The sequence below is a fragment of the Homo sapiens genome, chromosome 8 (assembly GCF_000001405.40).
Source record: "Homo sapiens chromosome 8, GRCh38.p14 Primary Assembly".
In the NCBI taxonomy this organism is placed as follows: Eukaryota; Metazoa; Chordata; class Mammalia; order Primates; family Hominidae; genus Homo; species Homo sapiens.
Window position 1 is genome coordinate 19759534 of NC_000008.11, and position 19988 is coordinate 19779521.

Sequence of the window (19988 nt, forward strand, 5' to 3'; positions counted from 1 at the left end):
AATTTTTTCATTTGGATAGTAATATAAAAGCATAGCAATGTGCACAACAATATGTGTGATATCAGTATGTATCAATACATATCAATTCATAAAGCCAGTTCTAGCTAAGGGTTTGGTGCCCCTATACATTTTGACAACAATTAATATATGAAATGGTAAGAGAGCGGAAAAGGTGATAAAACTATGAAACCAAGTAACACAATGTGAGAAAAGATACACTTTTTTCTGGAAAAAAAAGCAAGTAGATGTGTAATAGCCTTTGGATTATCCCTTTGGAAGCCACTATTATCAAGCAGTATTGGTGGTACTTAGTGTCCGTCATTAGAAAAGGCAGCAGAGTATGAGGGAAAAGAATGGCCAACTCATCTCTGCAACCCCAGTGCCCTAACAATGTCTAGCAGAATGAAGTCAGTGAACCTAATAGAAGGATGGGTTCCTTTACACCTCAAAGACCAAAGGAGAGTAACAACCAGGTTGAACACAAAACCTACGTGTAAAAACCAATTTTTAAGACGTATGGCCAGGCATGGTGGCTCATGCCTGTAATCCCAGCACTTTGGGAGGCTAAGGCTGGAAAACTGCTTGAGGCCAGGAGTTCGAGACCAGCTTAGGCAACATAGTGAAACCCTTTCTCTACAAAACAAATTTTTTTAAATTTAGCCAGGTATGGTGGTATATGCCATAGTCCCAGCTACGTGGGAGGCTGAGAAGGGAAGATCGCTTGAGCCCAGGACGCCAAGGCTGAAGTGAGCCAAGATCACACCACTATACTCTAGTCTGGGCAACAGAGAGAGACTCTTTAAAATAATAATAATAATTACTACAAAAAAAAAAAAAGGCAGGGCATGGTAGCTCACACCGGTAATCCTAACACTTTGGGAGACCGAGGCTGGCAGATCACTTGAGGTCAGGAGTTTGAGACCAGCCTGGCCAACATGATGAAACCCTATCTCTACTTCAAAAATACAAAAGTTAGCCAGGCATGGTGGCAGGCATCTGTAATCCCAGCTACTCAGGAGGCTGAGGCATGAGAATTGCTTGAACCCTGGAAGGGGAGGTTGCAGTGAACCGAGATCACACCCCCACACTCCAGCCTGGGCAATAGAGCAAGACTCTGTCGTGAGAAAAAGAAAAGTTTCTATATGGAGTTTAGCTTTAGTCATGTGGTTAAACATTTTTCATAAACATGATTTGAGAATCAAAATATGTTATTTTAATTTACAAGGACATTACAAGTGTACCTTAATATGGTGCTGATAATGCAGTAATAGTAAGGAAATATATAGAAAGTTGTGGAAATAAGTCAAGTCATGGTGTCAGAGTGATTTTATCCCCTTAGGGAAAAAATGGAATAAAATATATGGCATCGTGGCATCATTTTTATAGGGCAGCCCATATAAAAATATATATTCTAAAACAATATATAAAGTGGCAAACTTTTACATTTATAAAATGCAAGATACGTACAATATGTTTAATATCTTTAATAACTTGTTTCAAATATATTTGAATAGGTATTTTTAGGTACAGAAATACTTCACACAGTTCAAGGTTAGACTTCTCAGCCTCACCAGGGTCTTTGAGAACTTTGACCCAGAGCCATTCAGTAGCTGAAAGAACAGTTGTGAAACTCATTCATTAAAACTCAATTACATTATTTTCGAAGACACGTACTCATGTCATGTTGACTCTTACTTTAAATACAGTTCTAGTAATCAGGGTTATCTGATTTCTTAGATGACAGCAAATGTGCCGTATAGTTAGAGACTGCTCATTAGACGGAAGAGGATTGTTGTACCCAAGCATAAATACTGGCCAGACAGTACTATTGTGGGTGGTAAATCATTAAGCTAGGATCTAATTATATTCCATAGAGTCTACTTAAGGAACATGGAAAATATGAAATATATTTCTAAATGAATTTTTTATTTTAAATGAGTAAAATAAACATTTGACCTGGAGAGGTCAACTTTGCTCTTCTAGAAAAAAAAGGTCACACATGTTCAAGACCTCATTCCATAAGCACAACTCAAACATAGTGGGGGCTTTGTTAATATTTGCTGACTGAAAAGGGGATGCTTTTAATTTCTTCTGGATGTTTTGAATTAACGCCTTTAAATATACACATTAAAATAAGCGAGTTGTTTCCTACTATTTTCAAATTTACACTCTTCATTGTTCGTGCTGTTTCTCTCCAGCTCAGTCCAGGAGGAGGACTAAAGGGGGAACGTGTGTCCCTCTCACTGCACCATTGCCGAGCTTTCTTCTCCAAATGGCACAACAGGCACAGCTCTCTGGTGTAACGCTTTCAACTGCATAACTGAGATCTCACATAAAAGTCATCTAGTACAGGCCAGGCGCAGTGGCTCATGCCTATAATCCCAGCACTTTGGGAGGCCGAGGCAGGTGGATCACCTGAAGTCAGGAGCTCAAGACCAGCCTGGCCAACATGTTGAAACCCCGTCTCTACTAAAAATACAAACATCAGCCGGGCGTGGGGGCGCGCACCTGTAATCCCAGCTACTCGGGAGGCTGAGGCATGAGAATCACTTGAACCTGGGAGGCGGAGGTTGCAGTAAGCCAAGATCACTCCAGCCTGGGCAACAGAGCAAGACTCCATCTCAAAAAGAAAAAAAAAAAGTCATTTGGTACATCAGGGTGCTTCACAGGTTGAGTTTTTCATTCTACTTCTGTCCACTCAGCGTCGTCACTTCTCCAATCTATAGAAGAGAACAAAAGGGTAACAGAGGGAACTAGTACAGAAAACAAGATGAGTGGGGCAGCAGAGATTAATCTAGATCTGGTCTGCATCTGCCTGACATAAAATCCAGATATCTAAACACAGATCTGCTGAAAACGGTGTCTTTTATTTCTACAGTAATTACACTAATTCACCAACGTGCATATCTAGCTCACCCAGACCTTTATTTATCAATTGGAAAACTAGTTTTCAAATAGTTTCCCTTTGATAACTCAAAATTCAGTATTTTAGAGAAAGGTCTTCTAACCTTTACTCCACCTTTAATTTTTAAATTCTGATGGATAGGTTATTTAAATTATTACTGTTGTTTCTTTCCAAGCATTTTTAGCACCACTTTAAAAAGTAGATATTTATCATTTAAGTCAATATCTACAAAATCCTGTCCCACTTTCATACCTTACTCTGTGCCCTTTCACTATGAAACACTATGATAAACTCTCCATTAATAAGACAATATGTTTCAACACACATTATTATAAGAATCTTTATTACCAATAGTAGAAATAAGATGCATAAAGGTACACTCAAGGATACTAGAAGAGCTACTGTATAAAATATTAACACTGAACAGGGAAAATAGCCTGAGGAAGGGAAGGGCGAGTATAGTCAGTATCAATACGTCCAAAAACAAGAAATGTCTAAAGAAAAGCAACAAGTGCGTTATCCGCCAAGAAAAGAAAAAGACAGGCAAAGGCAATAACGTGGGAAACAAGCTTTGCCAATTTCAGAAACAAGGGTATTTCCTTTCCTGTTGCACAGAGGGGATTCACTGTATATAGCCACAAACGTGTCCCATTGAGGAGAAATTTGGCCTTCAAACCAGATGATGCCAGTAATGCCTCCCTTGCTATATGAGATGTGTTTGGCTTTTTCTGTAAACACAACCAGAAAATGTTCGAGTCAAATCATTATTCATCCAACAGTAAGTTAGGCAGTTACTGTGTGCCCAGTACAGTGGGAACCACACAAATGACTAAGCATAGTTTTTATCAAGAAACCTAAAATCTAGTAGAGAAGACTGGAAATATAGGGATTAAAAGTAGAAAAAAGAGAGAGCCCTGAATTGTCCATAGATGGCTTCACGTTAGAACTGACGCTTTTTTTTTTTTTTTTTTTTTTTTGAGACAGAGTCTCATTCTGTCACCCAGGATGGAGTGCAGTGGTGCATTCTCGGCTCACTGCGACGTCTACCTCCATATTCCCCTGCCTCAGCCTGCCCAGTAGCTAAGATTAGAGGTACCCACTACCACGTCCAGCTAATTTTTGTATTTTTAGTAGAGATGGAGTTTCGTCATGTTGGCCAGGCTGGTCTCGAACTCCTGACCTCACGTGATCCGCTCGCCTCGGCCTCCCAAAGTGCTGGGATTACAGGCATAAGCCACTGCACCCAGCCAGAAGTGGCTTTTGAAAGAGATCTTGAAAGGTTAGTAGAATTCGGATGGGCTGAGAAAATAGGAGGTGGTCCCCAAGAAGTAACTGAAGCAGAGATTGGGAAATCCTAGGCAAGTCCTGATCCAAAGGACAGGATCCAAAATGACCAGAACATGTGGGACATTTAAAAGGAAAGGCAAGACTTTAAAAGTGTTCTGAGTCTAGAAATGGGGGACTTTGAATGCCAGAAAAAAAATTATTATGCCAGAAAAAAATTTATTATATGAATTTTAGTAGGGTGCAAATCTGTGGATGTGAGCAGACACTGTTAGTCGCTTAATCAACATTCTTTCTTTCTTGCTGGAAGAGCCCTAAGTTTGCTCAAAGCCCATCTCCACGAGGCCCTAAAAGAGAGAATCAACACTGCCCCAGCTCTGAGTAGGGCTAGGGAAATAAATTATGATTGGTTTAAGCCAACAGGAAAAACCAATGGCAAAAGTGGCTGAGCCTTGATGGAATCCGTGCGATATCTCAGAGGAGAGGTCTGGTTATCAATTGGAAATAGAGATCTGGAACTCAGGATAGGCTAGAGCTAGAGATCTAGAAAGAATGGAGGTCCTCCATGTACAAAAATGTAATTGTTTAAATAATTAGAATGAAAAGACCAACTAGAGAGAGAAGATCCAGTGCAAGGTGGTGGCCGAGAGCACAATCCAGGGAGCATCTGAGCAGCGGTCCCCAACTTTTTTGGCACCAGGGACAGGTTTCATGGAAGAGAATTTTTCCATGGACCACAGGGGCAGGGGTGGTTTTGAGATGATGCAAGCACATTACATTTATTGTGTACTTTATTTCTATTATTATTACATTGTAATATATAATGAGATAATCATACAACTCACCATAATGTAGAATCAGTGGGAGCCCTGAGCTCATTTTCCTGCAACTAAATGGTCCCATCTGGGGGTGACAAGAGACAATGACAGATCATCAGGCATTAGATTCTCATAAGGAGCTCACAACCTAGATAGCTCACGTGAGCAGTTCACAATAGGGTTCGAGATCCTATGAGAATCTAATGCTGCTGTTGATCTGACAGGAGGCAGAGCTCAGGTGGTAATGTGAGTGATGGGGAGTGGCTGTAAATACAGATGAAGCATTGCTCACTGGCCCGCCACTCACCACTCACCTCCTGCTGTTCCTGACTGCAGCCCAGTTCCTAATAGGCCACAGACCAATACTCATCCATGGCCTGGAGATTGGATACCCCTACATTAGAGGATTCTGTAAAGGATGCTGGGAAGGAATGATGGGAAAGCCAGAACCAGTAAGGGAGATGCCTCAGTGGTCAGAGAGTTTCCAGAGGTGGGTAATGGTTCCATGTATACAATTCTGAGGCGGGGTGTGGTGGCTTATGTCTGCAATCCTAGCATTGTGGGAGGCCGAGGCGTGCGGATCACGAGGTCAGGAGATTGAGACCATCCTGGCCAATATGATGAAACCCCATCTCTACTAAAATACAAAAAAAGTAGCCCAACGTGGTGGCACGTGCCTGTAGTCCCAGCTACTCAGGAGGCTGAGGCAGGGGAATCGCTTGAACCCTGGAGGCAAACGCTGCAGTGACCGAGATCACGCCACTGTACTCCAGCCTGGCAACAGAGCAAGACTCCGTCTCAAAAAAAGATAAAAAAATTCTATAGTATCCATTGAGTTTGTCAAGAAGTATCTTTAGCTATCTATGAGCCCTCAAAACAACAAAAGAGGCATATTTTCTCACAATGCTGCTGAAAAAGCTAAGTAAATATTAAAGTTTTACTAGAATCATATAAAACCTATGTGGTTACACTGACATTTCACAATGAGCCTATGCTGATTCGCGGTTGACATCACAGGACACTCTGGAATGTGAATGGGGACCGAGTCACTGAGCACAGAGTGTCCAGCATACCATGCGTTTTTTGGCCTAGAAACCAACCCAGAATTAAGCAGGCAGAAGCAGTGAACAGTGCATATGTATCTCTATATTTGCATATCCTGTATATTTATATATCCTGTATATTTGCATATCCTGATTGTCTTTTAGCATCACCACCATCAGATATCAGGTAAACTTATTATACTTCAATGACGGTAAATGTTTGGTTAAATATTTGGATCAGAGATGGAATAGAGAAATAATGTTAATAAAAATGGGAAAAACATCATGAGCCCTACTTTTCCCACTCCTGCAGTTATAGACTCTCAAGACCTTTAACCTACAATCGGCCATGACAGAGACCTGAGTTTGTCCTAAGCAAATATGGTGCCCTCTGTTAGGAACCACAGCCCGTTCATGGGCAGGATGGGCTCACCATGTCTGGACCTGCCTTGAGTGTCTGCCTTCCACCAGCTGCACTCTCTTGCAGTAATACCTTTGTTTTACAGGGAGTTTTAATGGTTGGACATGGTTTTCTGCAGGTAAGAGTCCCCCTCTGGTAACAAACCCTGAAGTTTGAAGCCCAGACTATCTGACCTATACCTTGACCCCTTCTTGCTTTTTTTTTTTTCTATGTCACTTTCCCCCACCTGCAATACTCTAACTTTGCTCCCTAACCCTTCTCTGACCTTGAGAGCCCCCAAAAAATTAGTGTAGACCTCAGCAACCTGAAAAATAGTACCTCTGCACCCAAACTCCTGTTGCTCACTCCCACACGTCCTTAAACAATACGGCAACACCACTCAAACCACAGTTTTCCATATTCTTTTGGACGTGTAGGTGGGACTGCTAGTCAACTCTAAAAAGGGCCAACCCTTCTCCCTGGTTAGTTCAAACAATAATAGCAGTAATAACCGTATCATCATCATCATCATCATCATCATCATCATATTACTATTGTAGTTTGACTTGCACCATGTTCCAGGCACTGCTCTAAGCCAGGGGTCCTCAAGCCCCAGGCTGCAAACCAGTACCAGTCTCTGGCCTGTTAGGAACTGGACCGCACAGCAGGAGGTGAGCAGCAGGCAAGAGAGCATGACCACGTGAGCTCTGCCTCCTGTCAGATCTGCGGTGGCATTAGATTCTCATAGGAGCACGAACCCTATCATGAATTGCACATGCATGGGATCTAGGTTGTAGGCTGTTTATGAGAATCTAACTAATGCCTAATAATCTGAGGTAGAAGATTTCATCCCCCACCCCCTGCCCGTGGAAAAACTGTTTTCCACGAAACCAGTCCCTGGTGCCAAGAAGATTGGGAACCGCTGCTCTAAGCCATAAATATATACTTGCCACAACCCTATAGAGAAACTGAGGCTTAAAGAGGTTATAGAACATTCCCAAGGTCATACAGCTAGTAAGCCATGACGTCAGGATTCAAACTCAGGCCAACCTTTCCCATGGACACAACTCTGGGGTTCCCATACCTTACAGTCTGAGATAAAAGAGGTAACTAATAATATTTTTCAAAACATCCTATTTACAGGGCAGAAATAATAAAAATAGGTTCTTGGTAGGAAAGAATAATAGGAGGAAAATAGGAGGAAACCACTGATCTCTAATATTTCCTCTAAGAACAAGATAAATTCAGAATTGGGATTTGCCCACCCAACTCCCAGTCCAGTGATCCTTTGCTGTGCTATGTGTGGTCAGAAGGGTGAGGAAGTATCACAATGGAAAGGCCAACAAGATGGCGATGAATGCATATACTCCTTCAGTCATTTGCTTCATTCTTTACTCATATCATACCATGTTTTGTACTCTCATTGGGGTGATAATTAGTGCCATCTGTGTACTCTCATTTTATTAAGCCAATAACTAGAGTCATATCAACAGTGTTCACAGAACTAAAATAAGGAAGCTCTTTGTGTGTTTGTTTCTTTTCCCTCTCACAGAACAGATACTTCTCCTTCCTACTTTTTTTTTCTTTTTTACTAGCATCTTGGAAGACAACCAGTCCCAGGACCTATAAACAGTGCTTCCCTTCAGACACAGCTTTTATCTTGATTGGGCAGAGAAAGACAGACTGTTCCCTTGCTGATAAAGGGCTTTTTGAAGACTTTTACATAACTTCTGCAATTCACTGGAAAATAACACCCAGGAAAAGGCTGGGTGTTGGGGGTGGATAATAAACTTTTACTGCTATATGAAAAGTTACATTTTTCAGAGTAATATGGTGATTACAGATAAAATAACAAAATAAATTTTAATAACACCACATTGCCGAGTCATCAAAGAATTGGGCACTGGTCCAGTAACTTCTGGGAGAATTTGCACCTGTTGCCTCTTTCCCCAAGGATGGAGGAGGTTGCCGAAACCACCTCCTCCTGGGAGGGCTACCTGAAGCTCCAGTAAGCAATAGCACTGGCTAGGTCATCGTCTCTTCCAGTTCTGCCACCAACGAACTCATTCCAAGAAAATGTGGGAAATAATGCCTTATCTTGAAGTAAGTCAGAAGCTGTCACACGTACAAAGAAAAATGTTTTCTGGTCAGGGTTCCCTGTGGGCATGTCCTTGCAGATGCCTTGATGCGGCTCTGAATTTCTAGTTACAATTAACTGGCAATGAACTGAAGCTATGCTAGTTTAGATTAGGGGTTTTGAAAAGTCTCCTTGTATAATAATAGCATACCTAGTCTTAGCTTTTAGGTTTTCTTTCTTCAAAGGGAACATTCAGAGCCAGATAGAGGCAGAGGTCTGCCAGGCAGCTTCTTAGAGCAACAATCTATAAGAGGAAACTATAAGGGGGAACTCACATAACGCTAAAATAAATTGGAAATACAGCCCCACTTATCCCGAGTAAAATGTAATTGTCTCACTACTCTTGAAACAGGCATTTCGGAGTTGGAAGACAAACACCACCCCACCACACACACACACACACACATGCACGCACACAGTCACACACATACACACACACACACTCTGTTGAATATTTTGGCAATGTATACATGCTAAATAGTAATTTGCTGCCTTCAACTGAAATTCTAAAACCAAATAATACATGGCATAATACTTACAGAAGTGAGTGAATCTTTTATTATCCAAAATGTTAAACCCTTTAATATACCTCCCAAGGTGTTGTCTGGTTCAGAAACTCACAAAAGGAAATGGAAGGGCAAACTAGAACTGCTGAAAAAGTGGAAAACAAATTTAAACAAATTCATCATCAGCCAATGAAGTAAATTAAGTGACTCTAACTCTAGGTAATGTTCATTACTACAAAATACTTTCCCACTCCTACTAAATAAATGTTAAGTAATTACTTAAATGATATAAATTATGTTACATTACTAGCTTGCTTGGAGTGCTCACATGAAAGTCTTAATTACTCATACTTTCTCACCACCACAAAAGAAAGAAAGAAATAAGTTGCGGGGGTGTGGGGGTTAAGAAAGGAGGAAGAAAGAAAAGGACGGAGGGAGACAGGGAAGAAAATAATTGATTTCTGCCATTTTGGAAAACAGAGTGGTAGTTTCTTAAAAAGTTAAACACGTATCAGCCGGGAGCAGTGGCTCACGCCTGTAATCCCAGCACTTTGGGAGGCCAAGACGGGCAGATCACCTGAGGTCAAGAGTCTGAGACCAGCCTGGCCAACACGGCAAAACTACGTCTCTATTAAAAATACAAAAATTATCCGGGCTTGGTGGCAGGCGCCTATAATACCAGCTACTCAGGAGGCCGAGGCAGGAAGAATCCCTTGAACCTGGGGGAGGTGGAGGTTGCAGTGAGCCGAGATTGCACCAGTGGACTCCAGCCTGGGTGACAGAGTGAGACTCTGTCTCAAAAAAAAAAAAAAAAAAAAAAAGTTAAACACATATCAGCCATATGATCCAGCCATTCTACTCCCAGATATTTATCTAAGAGAAAGGGAAATACATTTCAATATAAAAATCTAAACACAAATGTTCATTGTGAGGTAAGAGGAAGGACTTGACTCAGGAGGTAGGACTTGACTACAGAGATAGGGCTTGGACACTGGACTGAGTTGAGGACTAGCTAAAACACAGAATGAGGCAGAAGCAGCTTTCCATTAGACACACCCACTACTGTGTTATGTCAGTTTACCACTGTCATGGCAACACCTGGAAGTTACCACTCCCTTCCATGGCAACAATCCAATGGCCCAGAAGTTACCACCCATTTTCTAAAGATTGCTGCATAATGCATCCTTCAATTTGCATGTCATTAAAAGTGGGTATAAATGTCAGTGCAGACCTGCCTCTGGGCTGCTACTCTGGTCACACTGCCTATGGGGTATCCCTGCTCCACAAGGAGCTGTACATTTGCCACTGCTGTACACTGCCATTTCAATAAAAGTTGCTGTCTAACACCACTGCCTTACTCACTCTTGAATACTTTCCTGGGTGAAGCCAAGAACACTCCTGCGCTAAGCCCCAGTGTTGGGATTTGCCTGCCCTGCATCATGAGCAGTATTATCTGTAACAGGCAAAAACTGTAAACAACCCAAATGTCCTTAGCAGGTAAATAAAGAAATTGTGGCATATAATAAAATGGGATACTGCTCAATCAGAAAATGGAATTAACTACTCAGACGCTCACCAACGAGGATAGGTCTCAAAATCATTATGCTGAGAAAAATAAACATACCAAAAAAGTCACATATTGTATGATTTCATTTATACAAAATTCTAAAAAATGCAAACTAACATAGCGACAGAAAGGAGATCAGTGGTTACTTGGGTATGGGGTATGTAAGAAGGCGTGGAAGGAAAGAATTACCAAGGGGTACTGGAAAACTTTTAGGGGGGATGGATATATTCACAATCTTGATTGTGGTGATGGTTTCACGGGGGTATACATATGTCGAAGCTTAGCAACTTGCGTATGCTAAAGTGTGCCAATTTTTTGTATGTTAATTATACCTCTCTACAACTACTTTAAAATTAATTTTTAAATTTAAAAAACAGGCCTCTGCATTTGAAAGAACATGTTCTCTATCTTGCTTTCAGTAAAAATCAGGAAGAACCTTTGGAGACTAAATTAAGTGATCCTGATTTTTTTGTTCAATGACTAAAACAGTGGTTCTCCAAATTTAGTATGCATGAGTGTATCTGAGATGCTAATTTGAAATGCAGTTTCCAGGGTTTTATATAGAGGTATGCTAGAAAATATTACTGATAAGAGAATGTGTAGGACCTAATTTACAAGTAATAATACATCCAATATTCTTTATTGTAAATGTAATAAATCTTACAAAATGCTTTTGTTGGCTTTTGCTAAACTCTTGTATCTGCAGTCAGCCTATGGCTGCAAGAGATGAACAAGTATAGTTCCAATTGAATGTTGGGTAATAATTTTGTTTACTCAGATGAAAGGATTACTTGAGGCCAGGAGTTCAAGATCAGCCTAAGCAACGTAGCGAGGCCCTGTCTCTAAAAAACTTTTTTTTTAAATTTCTCCAGGCACCATGGAATATACTTGTAGTCCCAGCTACTCAGGAGGCTGAGGCAGCAGGAGTGCTACAGTCCAGGAGCTTGAGAATACTAAGTTCATACTGCTGCACTCTAGCCTGGATGACAGAGCAAGACCTTGTCTCTTAAATCATAATAATAATTTTGTTTACATTAATGAGTAAAAATGAAGCATCATTTCTTAATCTCACATGACTTATTAATGATGTGAGAGACTTCTTTGATGAACTGGAAGATAGTTTTTGAAGACTGGGACAATAATTTCCTTAAGTTTATACTATTTATCATGTAACAACCACAGGCATGACACACTTTAAGTTTAATCTACATTATTAACATTTATTCCATCATTGTCTACATAACCAACAAAACAATAAATCAAGCCTGGTTGTATTTGACAAATGCCATGGTGTAAATATTCCCACATGGCCAATTTCAAGCTACCAGTGCATGTGAAGTTGGGAAGAGATGTACAGTAGCACACCAGTATCAGTATCTCCACCACACAGAAGTAATAGACATAACCTCAAAAGCACAGATAATAGCAACGTGTAGTAAAGTCAATAGGAAGTGATGAGTTTTGTATACTTATTATGCTTGTTTTTAACATAATTTATGTAACTGTGAGCTTCTACAATTTAATTTGTAATGATTTTTAGTAATGAGCTCATAAAATTCTTGAAATTTAATAGTTGGCTCTCAGGAACTGAAATAAGTTGGCTCTAACACACTGCTGGCTTCAGCTCAGCCCTAAGAAATGAGGTCCTTTGGGGATGGGGCTCAGGAACCTGCATTTCTAATATTGTCTAAGATGATTCTGATACACGATACTGGTGGAGAATCTAATTGCAATTTTCTTTTTAGCTAGTGTTATGATCTGAACATTTGTATTTCCCCAAAAATCCTGTATTGAAACATGATCCCAAGTGTGATGGCATTAAGAGATGTGGCACCCAAAGGGAGGGTGATTAGGTCACGAGGGCAGGGCCCTCATGGATGAATAAAATTAGTGCCTTTACAAAAGAGGTCAAGGGAGCTTGTTTACCCCTTTCCCCATGCGAGGACACCTCTAGAAGGTACCATCTATGAACCAAAAAGCAGGCCCTCACCAGACACCAAATCTGCTGACACTTGCGTCTTGTAGTTCTCAGCGGCCAGAGTTGTGAGAAATAAGTTTGTGTTATTTGTAAGCCACATTCTTATAGCAGCCTGAACAGTCTAAGACAGTTAGTACATAGGTGTTCTTCAGAGCCAACATGTTATGGGGAAAGAATACAGGATTAAGCATTAGGAACACTAACGTTCTCGCTCCAGTTCTTCCACTTAATTATATGGCCTTGGGCAAGTCACTAACTTCTTAGTTTCCTAATCTAATAAGGAGGGAGTAGGACCCAAGAAAAGTTTAGTAGATGTAATTTTAAAAGATTTACTTATATACTGAAGTATTTATAGGTGTAATGACCTGGTACCTGTTATTTGGTATCTATTTCCTTAGAATGCTTTGGGAAACAAAAGGAAAAAAAAGGTGGGCTAGAGATAAGCAAAAAGATTGGCGAAATGTTTTGATAATGAGAACATGGGTTCTATTATACCATTCCCTTTACTTTTGATGTTTAAAATTTCTCCATAATAACAATTTCCTAAGAAGTCACTAATAAATAATCCAGATTCTTTTTATCTTTAAAAGTATGTTTCACATCATCCTTGGATTTATAATTTTTTTAATCGGACAGGGGTCAGGACTTAGCGCCTTCTATGTGTTTGTTGCTGAGCAATCTGAATCTACTTGTTCTGAAATTCCCAGAACAAATTAATGGCTGAGCCAGGATTCTAACAACTACCTTCTGAGTTCCAAATCCCACCGCCATTTCGGTTACACCAAGCAACATGAGGGTGCTGCTGTCCCAGTGCAGTGTCAAATGGGAGCAGGGAGATGAGAAAGAGGGTGGAAATGGGGAAATTTGAGGCAAAGCTTCCGTATCAAGCATCAATATTTATTTAAAGTACATTCTGCTTCTAATTACAATCAAAACCAGGGGCAAACATTGCTGTGGGCAATTAAAACACCAGTCACTGCAGCTACTCGGGAGGCTGGGGCAGAAGAATGGCATGAACCCGGGAGGCGGAGCTTGCAGTGAGCCAAGATCACGCCACTGCACTCCAGCCTGGGCGACAGAGCAAGACTCCATCTCAAAAAAAAAAAGCCAGCCACAAATTATCCTCTAAGATTCTGGGCTGTTGAGAAACTGCTTCTATCACTCCCATTTCTACCTATCATTTCAGAATGAAACGGGAAGAAAGGTGAAATAATGCAAGTCAACACAGTACTATATTTTCTTTATTTCAACTAGGCTGGCGCCTGATACAGTTTAGGAAACAGTAAGCGCTCAATAAATGTATTTGGCTGAATCTAGGTAACCCTAAACATTTTCAGCATTTCATGTGATACATGCTTTTTGAGTACCTATCATGTGCTAGACAACATTTAGAACTTTGATACTGTGGACTAATTTAGTAATTTTTATGTATCTCATTATTAATAAGTGACTATTTCAATACTACCAAAAAATTTTAGTCCTCTCCTATATAAATTCCATAGAAAAAATTAACTCTATCAGCTTCAATTACATGACAGATTGTTAGAACAATTTTTAAAAAGCAAGAACCAATTTTATGCTGTCTACAGGAAACTAACTTTAAAGACATTGGTTAAAAATACAAGGGTAGAAAAAGATATAAGATGCAAACTCAAACTAAAAAAAAGTGAGAGTGGCCATACTAACAGCAGACGAAGTAGGCTTCAGAACAAGGAATATTACCAGGGATTCAGAGGGGTATTACGTAATGCTAAAGGATCAATTTGCCAAGAAGACGTAACAATCCTAAACGTGCATGCATCAAACAACAGAACTTCAAAGTACATGAAGCAGAAACTAATACAACTGAAAGGTAAAACAGAAAAATCCACATTCCTAGAGCTCAACACAAAGTCTGGGAGCTAAACCCGAGACTCTCACATTAAGCTGGGTCTTTTGAAGCAGTCTAAAGTGGTTCCAGACTAGCAGCTCCCACTGGCACACATCAGAAAGTAAAACAAATTCTTTCTGAGGAAAGCTTCCATGATTTAGGACCTCAGGATTCCAACTGATTAAAGTCAATCAAATATAAGTTCATGGTGCAAAGTCATCAAACATATGAGGAAATAGGCCAGCATGAAAAAAAGTCCAGGAAAAAATAACTTATAACCCAAAGAACTGAATTTAATATTGGAATTATCAGATATAGAATACAAAATAAATCTGTATGAAGAAGAAAAAAGATTGTATAAAAGACAGACAAAACTGAGCATTGCACAAGCAATAAAACATATCATAAATGAGCCAATAATTTATTTTAAATGAATTGATTTTGAAAATATAATCAATTGGCTTTAAAGGCTCAATGGATGGGCAAAATGCCAATTTAGATATAGCTAAAGAGAGAATTAGCACATATGAGGATAGAGTAGAAGTTGTTGCTGCAAGGAAAAAAAGGGAAATAAAGAATATGCCATGTATCAAGGGTCATGAATTAAAATAAACCTAACTCCAGATACAGTTCAGTGAAACTGAACAGGAAAGATAAAAAAAGATCTTAAATGCTGAGGTAACCATATTATTTATTCTCCAAACTAGAACTTTTTTTGGAGTCAATGAGGGCATTCTTAATAGATGTTCTAAGAAAACAGACTTAAAACAGCTGTCGTAGGCAAACTCACATACCAGGTCATCCTATTAAAGCACCCAGTAAAGCCGGGCAGAGTGGCTCATGCCTGTAATTCCAGCACTTTGGGGGCTGAGCTGGTGGATCACTTGAGGTCAGGAGTTTGAGATCAGCCTGGCCAACATGGTGAAACCCCGTCCGTCTCTACAAAAAATATAAAAAATTAGCCAGATGTGGTGATATGTGCCTGTAATCCCAGCTACTTGAGAGGCTAAGACAGGACAATTGCTTGAACCTAGGGAGGGTGGAGGTTGCAGTGAGCCAAGATCATGCCACTGCACTCCAGCCTGGGTGACAGAGCAAGATCCATCTCAAAAAAAGCACCCAGTGAGAAAAAATGTCACCTATACATATACAGAATGATCACCGGACTGTTAGCAGTCTTCTTAACAGCAACAAATGGAAGTCAGAGAACTGAAATGTCAAATAATACATAAAAAATACAGACAGCAAACCACCATGGCCCTCGAATTATGACCTCCAAAAAACTGTATTTCAAGAATAAAACTGAAAGGCATTTTCAGATAAGCAAAAACAGAATTTATCTCCAGTGAACCTTCACTAATGGTACTTCTAAAAGATGTTCAGAAATGAAAGAAAATCAAAAACAAAAACCAGCTGAAGGAGCAAAGTGTGAAATATAAGAAGGAATGAATGAACAAAGAAACAAAATGATAAACATGTGTATATCTAAAGCACATATTACCTATATAGAATAATAGCGTCTAGCTTCATAAGTTAAGAAAAAAATGAAAACAGCCCAGGCGTGATGGCTCATGTCTGTAATCCCAGCACTTTGGGAGGCCAAGGCACTGGATTACTTGAGCCCAGGAGTTTGAGACTAGTCTGGGCAACATGGCAAAACCCAGTTACCGTGAAAAACAGAAAAATTAGCCCATCATGGTGGTGCACGCCTGTAGTCTCAGCTACTTGGGAAGATGAGGCAGGAGGATCACTTGAGTCCAAGAGTTCAAGCAAGGCTGTAGTAAGCTGTGATCACACCACTGCACTCCAGCCTGGGCAACAGAGAAAGATGTGTGTATTTAAATTTAAAAAAAAGAAAAACAGCCAGGTACAGTGATGCATACCTATAGGCCCAGCTACTTGGGAGGCTGAGGTAGGAGGATTCCTTAAGCCCAGGAGTTGGAATCTAGCCTGGGCAACATAGTTAAAACAACATAATTAAAACAAAACACTAGACAACAGTACCATGTAAGTTGGGAAAGTGTGATTGCAACAATGTTCTAAGCCTCTTATATGATCCTGGGAAAGACACTGATTAACTTTAGATTAAAAGATGTACAGTAAACCTGGAGATCATTATGTTAAGTGAAATAAGCCAGGCACAGAAAGACAAACATCACTGTTCTCACTTATTTGTGGGATCTAAAAGTCAAAACAATTGAACTCACGGACGTAGAGAGTAGAAGGATGGTTGCCAAAGGCTGGGAAGGGTAATGGGGGGCTGGTGGGGAGGAAGGCATAGTTAATGGGTACAAAAAATTAGAATGAATAAGACTCACTATTTGATATCACAACAGGATAACTATAGCCAATAATAATTGTACATTTAAAAATAACTTAACGAGTATAATTGTATTGTTTATAACTCAAAGGATAAATGCTTGAGGGGATGGATACTCCATTCTCCATGATGTGCTTATTTCACATTGCATGCCTGTATCAGAACATCTCATGTGTCCCATAAATACATACACCTACTATGTACCCACAAATATTAAAAAAAAATTTTGGCCGGGCGCGGTGGCTCACGCCTGTAATCCCAGCACGTTGGGAGGCCAAGGCGGACGGATCACAAGGTCAGGAGATTGAGACCTTCCTGGCTAACACGGTGAGACCCCATCTCTACTAAAAATACAGGAAAAAATTGCTGGGCGTGGTGGCTGGCGCCTGCAGTCCTAGCTACTGGGGAGGCTGAGGCAGGAGAATGGCGTGAACCCAGGAGGCAGAGCTTGCAGTGAGCCGAGATCGCACCACTGCACTCCAGCCTGGGCAACAGAGCAAGACTCCATCTCAAAAAAAAAATGTAAAAGATGTAAGGTAAAATACTAAAGGTAACCACTAAAATAAAAGAAATACGGTAGATAACTTCTGAACCCATGAACAAGGTAAGGAAGAAAAAGAAAATTCAATTTAGAAAAATCAAGAACAGCAACAATTCAGTCTGACAATATTAAGTATTCGCAACATTGTAGAGTTATGTTAAAATTTTACACTTCTGTGGAAAACTTTTAGGCACTATCTTACTAGAGAAAAATATGTATACTCGACAACCCAGCAGTACCACTCTTGCATATGGAGAAGAAAGTATGAGGTACATGTGGAGAGAAACTAAAATGTTTTTAGCAGCATTGTTCATAACATTAAAAACTAGATACAACCCTGTATTCACTTACTGGAGCTGCCATAACAAAATGCCACAGGCTGAGTGGCTTAAACAACAGAAATGGATTTTTCTCACTGCTTGGGAGAGTAGCAGTCCTGGGTCAAGATGGCGGAAGTCCTGGATCAAGATGGCGGCAGGGGCCTTTTCCTGGGGCCTCCCTCCTTGGGTTGCAGATGGCTGCCTTCTTGGTGCGTTCCCACAGGGTCTTTCCTCTACGTGCAAATCTTGGTGTCTCCGTGAATCTCAATGTCCTCTTCTTATAAGGATACCAGTCAGATTAGATTAGGGCCCAGTCTAACGCCTTATTCTGCCTTAATCAACTTTTCGAAGGTCCCATCTCCAATACAGTCACATTCTACGGTTGGGGAGGGTTAGAGCTTCAACATATGCAATTTTGAGGAAAACAATTTAGCCTCGAACAGACCTAAATGTGTACATAATATACATAATAAACAGGAAAACATAACCAAATTTTGGAATAAGTACTCAAAGGAATGTTATGCAGAAGTAACATGAATGAATTACATGTGATAAAATGAAAAATATTGAGTAAGAAAAGCAAGTTGCAAAAGACTACCTCCATTCTAATACCATTTTTATATAGGAAAAGAAAAGCAAAAACAGCATACAATGTAGTGATATGTATATATGATTTCACTATTTTTATAAGGCATGGGAATAATAAATCTAAAGTTCAAGACAGTGGTTACCTCTTGGGGAGATAGAAACCTACAGTGTTGGTAATGTCCTAAGTCATAAGTTGGGTGGCAGGCTATGGGTATTCATTTAATGCATCATTACTAATATCTACTTATATCATCATGTACATATTTATATCTGATGTGTATATCATTACATATTATTGTATGTATCAAATATAATGATATTAGGTATTAAAAACACCTCTTATGGAGGAGAACTGGGGAGGTGTTGCTTTTACCGTTTCGAAAAAAAGTGCAGCTCACTGCCAGCACTCATATAATTTTACATAAACACGCTCCTTGAGGCTGAAGTAAATCTGATTTTCAATGTGAAAATAAAATATAAAAACAGTTCTTAGAGTTATTTCTCAACAGAATGAACATCAGAATCATCTGAATCGTCTATTTCGGAAAAAATCAGATTCATTAAATGAATCTTCTTTCAGCCAACAACTTTTCCAGAGCCACGTTAACATCAAATGTAGGAATTCTACGTTTGCTAGGATTTGACATCTTCAGCGATTGAGAATTACTATATTTTCTAAATGGAAATACCAGTACTAAAAACAGGATGCTATAAATAGAATGATGTCTTTTGTTTCCGAAGTCAATATATTAGAGCAATGGGAAAATAACAACAGAAGTGAGATAGTTCCTGACAAATTAAAAGCGAGGTAGTTCCTATCAAAGTTATGCTGGGCAAACGCCGCCAGCAAGGATTCTCAGAGCAAACAGCAAAAAGTACTAAGTTTCAGTTAGACGGATGAATAAGTTCTGAAGATCTATTGTATAGCATGGTAACTATAATAATAATGCATTGTATACTTGAAATTGCTAAGAGATTAGATCTTAAATGTTCTTACCACGAGAAAATGATAAGCATGTGAGGTGATGGATATATTAATTAGCTTGATTTAATCATTTCACAATGCATACATATATCAAAGCATCACATTATATGCCATTTTTAATTGTCAATCATACCTTAATAAAGCTGAGGGGGTGCCAGGCATGGTGGTTCACCACTATAATCTCAGCTACTCCGGACAATGAGGTGAGAGGATCACTTGAGGCCAGGAGTTCGAGACTAGCCTGGGCAACATAGCGAGATCCCTGTCTCCTAAAAAAAAAAAAAAATTATTAGCCAGGTGTGGTGGTCCACACTTGCAGTCCTCCGTACTCAGAAAGCTGAGGCAGGAGGATCCCCTGAACACAGGAGCTCAAGGTTACAGTGAGCTACGATCACACCACTACACTACCCTGGGTGACAGAGGGAGGCCCCATCTCAAAAAATAAAAACTAAAAAAAAAAGCTGAGAGGGTAACACCTCTTATGACAACATATTTTTATGTAGACCTCTTTGCAAATGGATGTTAACTCATTTATACTACTGTACACTTGTCCTAATTTTATATTTTGAATAATTTAGTGGTGGGTGTGGAATTAGAGGAAGTCTTTGTAGAGAATAGAATGTGTCTCTGGTAACTGATTATCCATATACTGGACTTCCTTCCTTCTGCAATTCAAATATAGCACACTTGTAATTTCATCTCATGATCATAGTAATAGCATAGTCA

General features: G+C 39.8%; 1 long non-coding RNA gene across 1 annotated transcript; it reads right to left on the reverse strand.

Moving 5' to 3' along the window:
* Positions 1–1469: 1469 nt before the first annotated feature.
* On the reverse strand, positions 1470–19435 carry LOC107986920 (uncharacterized). The gene is made up of 3 exons (XR_001745821.2): positions 19396–19435; positions 17721–18134; positions 1470–2720 (listed from the first exon to the last, which is right to left on the reverse strand). It is a non-coding gene; the product is annotated as an uncharacterized LOC107986920 (long non-coding RNA).
* Between the last annotated feature and the right edge of the window lie 553 nt (positions 19436–19988).